Here is a 12,429-nt window from a genome sequence, read left to right on the forward strand (position 1 = left end):
GCATGGAAAGCAGTTTAGCAGAACTAGCAAAGAAAGATGGCATGATCATTAGCTCATTTAATATTACAGCTCATGGGACAAGCATAGATTCAGAAGCATTAAATAATATTCTAGGTAAATTATCAGAAGTCAAGAAAGAGGAAAGCTAGAGTTCATGACACATGTTAATTTACTTAGGGAATCTTCAAACATGAAAAAGAAGTAAAAATAAAGTGAACACCTATGTAGCTATCAACCAAGTTCAACAATTATCAACACCTGGCCATTCTTGTTTCTTTACTTCAACCTACTTTCCCTTCCATCCCCAGCGAATTATTTTAAAGAAAGTCTCAGCTCTTCCCCTAAGTGTTTCTGCTGGCAATACTAAGTGGTACAACCTGAGGTAATCTGTGAAAATGGTTTGCTATTCACTTGATCTGTAGAAGCCCACACAATCATACAAATCAAGAGGTTCAAATTTTCCTGTTCACTTTAAGAACACTCGTGAAACTGCCCAGGCCATCAAGGCTATGCATATACAAAAAGCCATGAAGTATCTGAAAGATGTCACTTTACAGAAACAGTGTGTACCATTCCAACGTTACAGTGGTGGAGTTGGTAGGTGTGCCCAGGCCAAGCAGTGGGGCTGGACACAAGGTTGGTGACCCAAGAAGAGTGCTGAATTTTTGCTGCACATGTTTAAAAATGCAGAGAGCAATGCTGAACTTAAGGGTTGAGATGTAGACTCTCTGGTCATTGAGCATATCCAAGTGGACAAAGCATCTAAGATGTGTTACCAGACCTACAGAGCTCATGGTTAGATTAAGCCATACGTGAGCATTCCCTGCCACATCGAGATGATCCTTACTGAAAAGGAACAAATTATTCCTAAACCAAAAGAAGAGGTTGCCCAGAAGAAAAAGATGTCCCAGAAGAAACTGAAGAAACAAAAACTTATGGCACAGGAGTAAATTCAGCATTAAAATAAATGCAGTTAAGGCCAGGCACAGTGGTTCACGCCCGTAATCCCAGCACTTTGGGAGGCCGAGGTGGGTGGATCACTTGAGGTCAGGAGTTTGAGACCAGCCTGGCCAACATGGTGAAACCCCTTCTCTATTAAAAATTAAAAAATTAGCTGGGCGTGGTGGTGCGTGCCTGTAATCCCAGCTACTCAGGAGGCTGAGGCAGGAGAATCGCTTGAACCTGGGAGACAGAGGTTGCAACGAGCCGAGATCGCGCCACTGCACTCCAGCCGGAGTGACAGAGTGAGACTCTGTCTCAAGACAATAAATGAATAAATGCAATTAAAAGTTTTAAAAAGTCCCAGATATCACATAATTTTATCTTTTAAAAAGCCTTTAGTTTATATCACTAAAGATAAGGCAATTTTTAAACATACTACAGTATCATCACATCTAAAAATATTAGTAATAATTCCTAGATACCATCAAATAAACAGAAAGTCTAGCTGTCATACCTGTACCCTCCTCTGTTGCCTCCCTCTCCCACAGTAATATTTTTTAGTTTTGATTTGTCCTTCAATTATTTTTTTATGTAAGCAAATAAATATAGTAAATATTTGTTGTTTTTTCCTTCACAGAGAAGAGGTAACCCATTATACACATTTTCTGCATCTGGATTGCACTTAAAAATTATTCTCACTTGACACCAATACATAGAAAACTTTGTTCTTTTTTTCAGCTACATAGTACTCCAACATGTGAAGGTACTTTATTCAACCATTACTCTGTTGATGGACATTTGGGCTATTCCCAGTTTTTTGCTCTTACTAGCAGTGTCATCATGAAAAGCCTTGTGTATATGAATTTCTTATTTTGAGAGCATCTTTGGAATAGATTCCTAGAAGTGGGATTGATGAGTCAAAAGGCAAATGCATATAATGTTGCTAGCTATTGTCAAACTCTCTTCTATAAAGATTATACCACTTAATATTGCCAGCAGAAATGAGTATGGTGTCCTTCTTTATGATTTTTTTGGCCCTCTGAGAAATGAGAAGTAGTATCTCAGTGAGGTTTCAATTTCCTTTTTTTTTTTTCTGTAATCTATATTTTGAGAACTTCATTCTAAGAGAACAAGACTCCTTTTGGACAGTAACACCATTGGAATTGTCAAAAAAGAAAAATCTTCCCTGGTTACATTATGTGTTGAATAAAGAAGTTTTTCTTGCAGATAGGCTTGAGTTGTCAAGTTTTCATTCAGAGCAGCTCAAGCATGGGGAGTTTATGAAAATGGAATCGTTGAAATTCATAGAATGAGAAGCCTCAAAGAGCTCTTTTTACCAGCATATTCCATTGAATACCTTTGGAGACATTCATACCCATCAAATACTCAGAGCATACTTTTTGAGAAGATTAAACCTAACTTAGAAGTTGGAGGTTCTTGGCACAATAAAGAAAAGCAATGCTTAACCCTGAAAGATTAACTGGGGAAAAACATGATACCTTCAGTCAAAACTTTATGGAACTTTTATTTTAAAAAACTTCATTTCACCCTACCCATGACCAAGTACCCCCCAAGAAATGTTTAGAACATATCATTTATATGAGCTGTTTGAATTTAAACACTGAATAAATGCTTGCAAAAGCATATATTTGTCCTAACTTCTATTTTATTTTTAAATCAACTTTGGCATTTTCACACTGTAAAGTGAGTTTTTTATGTGAGGGCTTGCTTTACAGAAATTTCAATATCCCATGTTTACAAAGAAGCACTCACTGAGGATTCAATTCTCTTGCAATTAATTTTCCCAAGTTGCCAGCTAGCAGGCTACCAATCTATGGAGCGTTCAACATTTAGGGATGAACTTTCATGGGCCCTGGGGATGCAAAGATTACTACTTTGTGGTTCCTCGGTAGAGGAGCTGAAAAGTAAACATGTAAATTAAAACAGCCTATGACATAGGACCAACCAGGGTGTGTTGTCATTGTTGACATGTATCTCTACCAGAAAAGTTCACTCTTCTTTATAAATGACAGCATTATTGAGCTGTTACCAACAGTAATTCACATGACCAATGGTGGACAACCAGGACTCCAAGATGGTGTCAGTTGCACCAGTGAAAGAGAGGAAAGTCATGGATGCCTAACTTGGGGAGCTGCCAAGCTGGCTATTGATGTGGGGTTTCACCCTGAAAGGCATGATTGGAGCATTTCAAAGAAGTTACTACCCGCATTAGAACAAGTGCCTCACAGGAAGGAAGGGAGCATTGCAGGGGTTTCTATAGCTGGCAGCTTACAGCTTTTCCTCTATGTTCTTTCTTACAAAGAGCTCAACTGTGAGCAACTCTGCAAGCATCACCTAAGAGGGGCCAGTGAAGGGTGCACTCTGCCCTTCTGACCATGACCTCCTTGGCCCATCACCCCTTTGTGAGAAACTCCATCACTGCTGAATCCTTTTATATCCTAATTGAGAACTAACGCCCAAACAGAAGATGACTGGTATGTGTAAAGAAATACAAATAATAAAATTCACATACCATATAATTCATCTCTTTAAAGTGCACAATTCAATGGGTTTTTTGTGTGTACATTCAGAGTTGTGCAACCATCACCACATTCAATTTTTAGAACAATTCATCACCCCCAAAAAGAAACTGTGCATCCACTCACAGTCACTCACTATTTCTTCCAACCTGCACCCCCCACCCCCAGCCCTGAGTGACCACTAATCTTTGCATTCTCCCTAGATTTACCTATCTGGGATATTTCATACAATGAAATGAAAATGAAATCATACAGTATGCAGTCGTGGTGACTGTCCTCTTTCATAATGTTTTTGAGGTTTGTCAATGCTGTACTATGTATCAGTATTTAATTCCTTTTTCTTTCCAAATCATAGTCCATTGTGGATATACTATGTTTTCTGTTGCTTACTGTTTGATATGGTTTGGATTTTTGTCCCCACACAAATCTCATGTTGAATTGGAGGACGGGCCTGGTGGGAGGTGACTGGATCATGGGGGCAGATTTCCCCCATGTTGTTCTCATGACAGTGAGTGAGTTGTCACAAGATCTGATGGTTTAAAAGTGTGTGACATATTGCGGCACTATTCACAATAGCAAAGACTTGGAAACAACCCAAATGTCCATCAATGATAGACTGGATTAAGAAAATGTGGCACATATACACCATGGAATACTATGCAGTCGTAAAAAAAGGATGAGTTCATGTCCTTTGCAGGGACATGGATGCAGCTGGAAACCATCATTCTAAACAAACTATCACAAGGACAGAAAACCAAACACCGCATGTTCTCACTCACAGGTGGGAATTGAACAATGAGAACACTTGGATATAGGGCGGGGAACATCATACACCCGGGCCTGTCATGGGGTTGGGGGAGGGGGGAGGGATAGCATTAGGAGAAATACCTAACGTAAATGACGAGTTAATGGGTGCAGAAAACCAACATGGCGCATGTATACCTATGTAACAAACCTGCATGTTGTGCATATGTACCCTAGAACTTAAAGTATAATTAAAAAATATATATAAATAATAAATAAATAAATAAAAGTGTGCGACACTTCCACCTTTGCTCTCTCTCTCTCCTGCTCCACCACAGTAAGATGCGCTTACTTCCCCTTTGCCTTCCATCATGAATGTAAATTTCCTAAGGCTTCCTGGTCTTGCTTCCTATTAAGCCTGTGGAACTGTGAGTCGATTAAACCTCTTTTCTTCATAAATTACCCAGTCTTAGGTAGTTCTTTATAGAAATGTGAAAACAGACTAATACCCTATTCTGTTATTAGGTGACACTAATATACAGTGAAATGCACACATGTGAAGCATGGCTATGCCACATTTTTGTTATCCATTCATCTGTTGGTGAACAATTGGGGTGTTTCTACTTTTTGACTGTTAGGAATAATGCTGCTGTGAACATTCATGTAGAAGCATTTGAGTGGATGTTTAGTGGAACTGCTGGGTTGAACAGGCTAACTCACGGAAGGAACGCATCATTGTATTCCTCTAACAAGCACAATAGTAGAAATTTAGTGAGTCATCAGCTTCTTGCTCAAAAGTGGCAACCAATCAATTTTCCTGCACTTTGGAATTGGGAGGGGCCTCTGCTGTTGGCTGGCCCATGTTCTTGGTCAGTTGACCATCCAGCCCATGGTTGTGGTGTGATATTATCCAATTCACATTTCTCCATCTCATTTATATGGCACCATGACAGAGCCTTTGCCAACATCCACACACATGAACTCCATGAATTCCCCCGATCTGCTAATCTAGTAGTAATCCAGAAAAAGAAAAAATGTGGTTAGTTTGGCATCACCTATTCTAAATTCTACTCATGACTAAGGCTGAAAAACTGACTGCTGAATGATAGGTACTAATCTTTAACCAGGAAGTAACACTAACTTGTTCATAATTCTTAGACTCCACATTTCCCTCTTTAAAAAAAAAAAAAATCTTTACATCAGACCCTTTGGGTGTTTGTCGTGTCTCTCTCATTGCCCTAATTGTTCAGCCATCACCCCGCAACAGCTCCCAGCCCCCTGCAATATGACTCATCTGAGCTCGAAGTTCTGTCTGCTCTATCTCACGCACTCAGGATGTTAAAGCTGTAGGCTCCTCCCTCTCTGGGTTTCATAGCTCTCTAAGCTTATTTTTATTATACGCTTCCTGGTAGAAAGATCATTTTCCGTGATACAGAAACAAAAGCGTTATTGAGCAGTTCTGAGTAGTTCTGCATTCTTCTTGGCAGATATTTACACTACAGTCTCCCTTAGGTCTACGAGTTGTCTTCCTTGTTCCCTGGCTCTGATAGATCAATAAAGCCCTCTGGGTTGGCCCCAGCATTTGTCTCAAGCCCTGATCTCTACAGTGTTTAGAACTTCCTCCCGTGGTTCTTAAAGGTCCAGGCCCTTCTTTTGAGAATGTCTTTGGATGGCTGGCTACAGGACCATTTACCTGTGGGAACTATCTTGGAATAATTTCTGGGTAGTGAAGGATTCTTTCTTCAGGGTTTCCAAGGATTGGCTAGCTGCTCTCCTTCTGAGCCATCACCACCTGCTTTCCCCCAGACTTTGCTCTCCCACATGGGCACTGCAGGAAGGGACCCAGCTGTCCATCTCTCTTGCTCTACTCCAACCCTTAATAAGGCTGGAAATACTTTGGAAGTCATCAAGGCAATTTTGTGCTGGACAGGGCAAGAAAACAAACAGGGGATTAAAGATAATGGAAAATGATAAGAAAGCTTTAACATCTGTAAGAGTCATTCCTGAAACCTACTGTGACAGATTAACTCTAGATTGGCTCTTTCTCAATCATCCCGTAGAATCGGAAAGTCAGTTCTCCCAATCTGGGTAGCTCCATGTTTGTTTGTAGGGTCATTCATGAGTTTTCCTATCTCCCCTCTCCTTCTTCTTATCTATGTCTTTCTGGCTTAGATGAAAAATGTAAATAGTAGAGTACTTGGCCTACAAATCAGAAATCCCCTCCAGCTCCCATACCTTCTTTCTTCACCTACTGTAGTTACTTTAATCACTAGGTCCCTCCTCCCATCTTGCCTGCATATGACTTATCTGAGAGCTCACTGAGCAGCCATGCTGATATTTACCAATGCCAGCTCTCACCAGGATCATTTGGAATCCTATTAACACTACAACACACGCACACACACACGAGTCAATTCTTGCTATTCCCAGTGGCTATGGTCTACAAAGTCACCCTGAAGACTTAATTGGCCAATACTGAACCACTGCTCTTAGGGGAAATAGAGGCTTAAGTTCCTGTGAGCTTTCGGTCACATTTCTTTCATCAACTGGTCAATACATAACCTTGTTTTATGTGTTCTCTGTTTAAAGAATGCTTATTTAATATATATTGTTGATTAACATTGAACTCATAGCCAACAGCACCATAACTCTTGCCTGAATGAAGCTTTGCTAACACATGTATTTTCTCCATCAGGCATATCACAGCCTTCTTACACTTAGAAACTCTAAACAGCACTTCAGCAGTATGTGTGCAGGCCATTTTAAACAGAAAAATCACCAACAAAAAGTACAAAAATGTGAAAAATGTGGTATTTCATAGGCCAGGAGAAAGACACTTGTTTATAGTACAAGAGCTGAGACAAGAAGGCAGAGTGTCTCACCTTGTGTGACCTCCGCTGGGAACGTGCATTTTGGGTGACTCAATTTTCTTGGCCACTTCTGTGTGTTGCAGATGACCATAAAAGTGCCACAAGTATTAATTTTGGGGTTACAAATAGATTTTAGTGAGTAGGCAAGTTCACAAATTCAAAATCTGCAAATGATGAGGATTGACTCTACACACACACACACACACACACACACACACACAAATATATCTACCCAGGAAAGTTATCTTTTGTTTGCAATGCACCCATTATTGCACAAGCCATGATATGAACTGGGGCCTGTGGCATATGGTTCACCAGTGTACGTACCATACCTACCATATGGCCTGACCTTGGAGGCCCTTAATAAATACTTGTTAGATAAGTTAATGAAGGACTGAAGGTCCAATAAAGTCAATTACACACACACACGCATGCACACACACACGCAGACACACAAAGAGTATATGCCGTCTACCATTTACTCCAGGAACATAGTCTGTACAGATTAGATAATCTTATAATAGCCACTAAGTCCATTTGAAAGATGCCCATCGCATCTTCACCTTTATTAGGCACAGAATTTTTATTATGGTGATCATTACATTGGTGTAGCTCTTTGTGGTTCAAAAACCACATTCATGTAGTTTCCAAGCCTATAGTGGTATTGTATATAAGTGGATTGTTCATTCAACCATCATCTAGAATCACTGGATTTTTAAAAAATTTTGATAAAGCCTAGAGAAACACTAAAATAAACAGATTAGTCCATATACCCAGTTCTGTGTGTTTTGACCCATTAGTAATCTGACTCTGCTTCTATATCCATTTGGACTTTGTGGGGCCCAAAGAGAGGAGATGAGTTCACTAATATATTCGGTTAAGAGTTCAAGATCACTTGGAGAGAAAATAGGCATATCTCCACCTAGTGGTCAATAGCAAAATGTGGGGCCATGGAAATGGGTTTGGACCCTTAATTGCTGGTTTATGCACCTAAATCTGGGCTGCTTTTCTTGTGAGTCAAAGCTTGGCAAGAGAAAAAAGAACTAGATTGGTCAGGGAAAATCCGCCAATGGAAAACATTCTATGAAGGTGGTCTAATGTGAGCTTTGGAATCATAAACTTGGATTTAAATTCCAGCTCCACCACTAAAAAGCTACGTGATTTAGAACAAGATGCTTAGTTATTGAAGTCTTAGCTTTTTTATCTGTAATAGGAATAATAATAATACAGCATAAGTTTATTTTAAGGATGAAATAAAATAATGCATAGAAGCTAGCATAGTGTCTGGCACATAGGGGGCAGGCAATACATGATAGGTATTATTACATCTGTTTGAAAAAAAGGCGCAAAGTATTTTCTCTAAGGTCAGAACTTAATTGATGCATACATGCATGTGTTATCAGCACAGGGGCAACATGCATTGAAAAGCATATGGAATCAGAGTGTTTAGTATATGCTTTAGTGCAATAGGATTTATTTTATTACCTGTTGAATAAATAATGTGTTGTAAACAAGGAGATGTCCTGGATAAAGCAACTCAGAGGAAAGTTCCTACATATTTCAGATTGACCTTCCATTTCAATGGAAATGCACAGATAGTAGCAAGCAGGTCATGGTTATTTCCTGTATGCCCACTACAAATAAAAGGCAGTGAGTTCATGACAAATATAAAGTGGAAGGTGTTCCAAATAAATAATGGACCTTTATTGCCTTTCTAAGGAAAAGTCACATCTTTAAAACATATTTCTAATCCCATTCAGATAATATTCAGTATAAGATATCATGGTCTCGTCTGGTGTTGTCCACGTAGCTTCATATAATGGAGATTCGGGTCAATGGGAGGCAGGAACTCAGGGAAATGGCAAACTGCAGGACTGGGGATTCCCTACTGTGATCTCCTCTCCCACACCCTGTAACTGGTGTGAGCTTGTAGTTTATTTTTTTTCTTGCCTGCTATTTCTTGTGGGTTGAATGCACCCCTCCAAAAGATATGTTGAAGTCTGAATCCCTAGTACCTGTCCTAGTACCTATGAATGTGACCTTCTTTGGAAGTAGGATCTTTGCAGGTGGAATCAAGATATAAATTAAGATGAGATCATCTGAAGTAGGCTGGGCCCCAACCCAATATGACTGGTGTCCTATAATAAGAGTAGAGACAAGAGCGCCATGTGAAGACAAGACACGCACAGAGGGAAGATGATATGAAGACAGAGAACACCGTGTGACGACGGAGGCATCTACAAGCCAAGGACTGCCCACAACACAGAAACTAGGAGAAAGTCCAGGAACAGATTCTCCCCAAAGAACATGGCCCTGCTGACACCTTGATTTCAGACTTCTGGCCCCTCAGAAATATGAGAGAATAAATTTCTAGGTCGGGCACGGTGGCTAATGCCTTCGTGATCCCAGCACTTCGGTAGGCTGAGGCAGGTGGATCACCTGAGGTCAGGAGTTCAAGACTAGCCTGGCCAACATGGTAAAACCCTGTCTCTACTAAAAATACAAAAATTAGCCAGGCGTGGTGGCGCGTGCCTGTAATCCCAGCTACTCAGGAGGCTGAGGCAGGAGAATCACTTGAACCCGGGAAGCGGACAGTGCAGTGAGCTGAGATCATGCCACTGCACTCCAGCCTAGGCGACAGAGCAAGATTCCATCTCTAAAACATTAAAAAAAAAAAAAAAGAAATTCTCCCCAAAGAACATGGCCCTGCTGACACCTCAATTTCAGACTTCTGGTGCCCCAGAACTATGAGAGAATAAATTTCTATTGTTTCAAGCCACCCAGTTTGTGGTGCTTTGCTGTGGCACTCTAGGAAAAGAATCCACTCTTCCAGCAGAGAGAAGTTACAGCGTGCCTTGGGGGCTGAATGTTGATCTGAGCAGTGTTTAATTTCCTGGAATTCTCACCATATAAAATTATAGCAGGCTGCCTCTACACAAGAGGGGTGAGGGGATTGACACCATCTGTGTTCGGGCCACACTGAGTAACAGGTGAAGAGGAAAAAATGAAAACATTTAGGATCTCTGCAATGCTGGTCCCACCTGGGTGGGAAAAACCAGGATTTTCCTCTCTCCAGGGCTGAGAGCCAGTTTCTGAAGCCTGCTTCTGTCTTCAGGGAGAGGACATTCATGTAATCTGCCAATGCCGGGTTTTTTTTTTTTTTCTTTTTACAGAAACTTACAGGACACGTGCCTTCCTCTCTCCCCTCCTTCCCTGCTGTTTTCCCAGCTGCCAGGAACTCCACCTCCGTGTCCACTCTCTTCTCTCCAGTCAAGAGTAAACGAAACTCAAGTTATTGGGCTTTGAAATATCCTAGCTCAATTCACATGCGTCCTGTTTAAATCCGTGGTGTGTTACCTCGGCTTATTCGGATTTAGGAAATGCTCCATCATCCTGTTGACTCAGCGCCTAAAATAAGAGGCAGATGCCAGGCCACTTACGCAAAAGGGACTCCCTTGGCAGCATCCTGCTTGTAGTTAAGAATGATCCCACTAGATGGAGCTCCACTTAAGGTCCGACCAGAGGTTCTTGCACTTTCCTCTTAGTATCCAGCAATTACAGGAGCAAAATCCCAGAATGAGCAAGAAGCCCAAGAAGGCAGATTTAGAAGACAATGATACTTACCCTTCGCGTTTGACTTAATTTTCAGATTAGACAGAACTTCCTACTGCTTCCCTCATTAATAAGATCATCCACGATCAAATTCCTTCTACCTCCCTCCCTCAAGGTACAAAATGAGCTTGCAATAAACACATGACCAAATTGTAAAAGTGCATGGCAACAGGTGAGAAAATGCTTATTTGGAGGCTCTCAGGGCTTTGAGGCTGAATAGAGGAGGTAACTGTCAATCGAAGTTAGTTTGGTCCTCAGCACAGCCAGTGATCAGGCAGGCAGAGAAGGCATTGCAGCCTGGCACTGGCTGGACAGTCTGTGCCAGTTAACAGCCTCAAAGAGTGGCCAGCTGAGAAGGACAGGATGATTTTGACACCATGACGGGATCAAGTGCATTTCCAGTTGAAATACTCAAGACAGAAGAAAGAAGAAAAAACCTGAACCAACTTTTCCCATCAAAATCACTGTGTTTAAATATGGGGGCAAAACCGTAGGGGGCTCAACGGTAATAAAACTCTGAGAGGTGCTCTCAGGCTGCCCTTGCTTTATGCCTTAAAAGAGACTTCCAGTTTGTATTGTCTATAGAAGACTTTACTTTTTGTAAGTGGCAAAGTTTCTGTTAAACACCAGCTTCATGCCATCCTCCTGATTCTCATTTTCATCAACTGTAAATTGGAGAAATATAGTTCTTTCCTTGTGGTGCTATGGTGAGGCTTGAAAATAAAATGTGAAACTTCCTAGCAAAAGATGTGGCACATAGTAGATTCTCAGTAAAGAACTCTGTCTCCACTTCTTGCTGCTATTCTAGGAAGTTTGGAGGACTTCCTCCAAGATGTTGCTGTAATTATTACACACAAATCACCAAAGCACACTTGCTAAACACCTTGGTATAGATTTATGCCAGAGGCACAACTATGGCAAGTGCTCTCATCACCATTTTCACCGTCTTCAAAACTGATTACAGGCAAGACGTAGTGGCTCATGCCTGTAATCCCAACGCTTTGGGAGGCCAAAGCAGGAGGAGTGCTTAAGGCTGAGTTTGAGACCAGCCTGGGCAACATACTGAGATCCTATCTCTACAAACATAAAAAAAAATTAGCTGGGAGTGGTGGCACATACTGATGGTCCCAGCTACTCAAAAGGCTGAGGTGGGAGGATCGCTTGAGCCCAGGAGTTTGAGTCTACAGTGAGTTATGATTGTGTTACTGCACTCCAGCGTGGGTGACACAGCGAGACCCTGTCTCTTAGAAGAAAAAGTTGATAATTGACTCAGAAACAGTGGAAAAGGGAACATGGGGGCTCCTTTTGCCCTCTGATTTGCCTACTGAGTGGTTCTGGGAAAGGACACAAAAAAACAAAGCCAAGTGTGCTAACTTCCCCAAAATAACCTGGGCCCTTCAGCCTCAGAGGGGGGCTGCAATTTCGGAGCCATCCAAATGGAATTGTGAAATGGATGAGTCTGATATCGAGTGTTTTCAATCTCCCTATCTGTGTCTCCTTCTTTCTTCTCTCATCTAAGTTGCAGGCCACCATTTTTTTTTCCTTTTTTCCTATTAAAACTTGATCTCAGGAAAATAAAAATTGATTATCACTAACTTTAAGGAAGGGGACATTGGTGCACCATTCTCTCTATATTTACATGATTTTTCCTCAATTATTCATTACCAAGAAGATGGCAGAAGTGTTTAGAAAGGCAGTGATCTTCTTTGCCCCTGAAATCA

At 41.1% G+C, this 12,429-nt stretch overlaps 1 pseudogene, besides 2 other annotated features; it reads left to right on the top strand.

The window, feature by feature from the left end:
- Positions 377 to 977, top strand: RPL17P44 (ribosomal protein L17 pseudogene 44; annotated as a pseudogene).
- Positions 3,105 to 3,154: an enhancer, noted in NCBI's record as "active region_13430". NCBI's record gives its function as "activates an Ori minimal core promoter by ATAC-STARR-seq in GM12878 lymphoblastoid cells {active_cell/tissue: GM12878}" and the evidence as "EXISTENCE:reporter gene assay evidence [ECO:0000049][PMID:35858748]".
- Positions 5,429 to 5,478: a silencer, noted in NCBI's record as "silent region_9507". NCBI's record gives its function as "represses an Ori minimal core promoter by ATAC-STARR-seq in GM12878 lymphoblastoid cells {active_cell/tissue: GM12878}" and the evidence as "EXISTENCE:reporter gene assay evidence [ECO:0000049][PMID:35858748]".

This window comes from Homo sapiens, chromosome 18 (genome assembly GCF_000001405.40).
Source record: "Homo sapiens chromosome 18, GRCh38.p14 Primary Assembly".
Taxonomy (NCBI): Eukaryota; Metazoa; Chordata; class Mammalia; order Primates; family Hominidae; genus Homo; species Homo sapiens.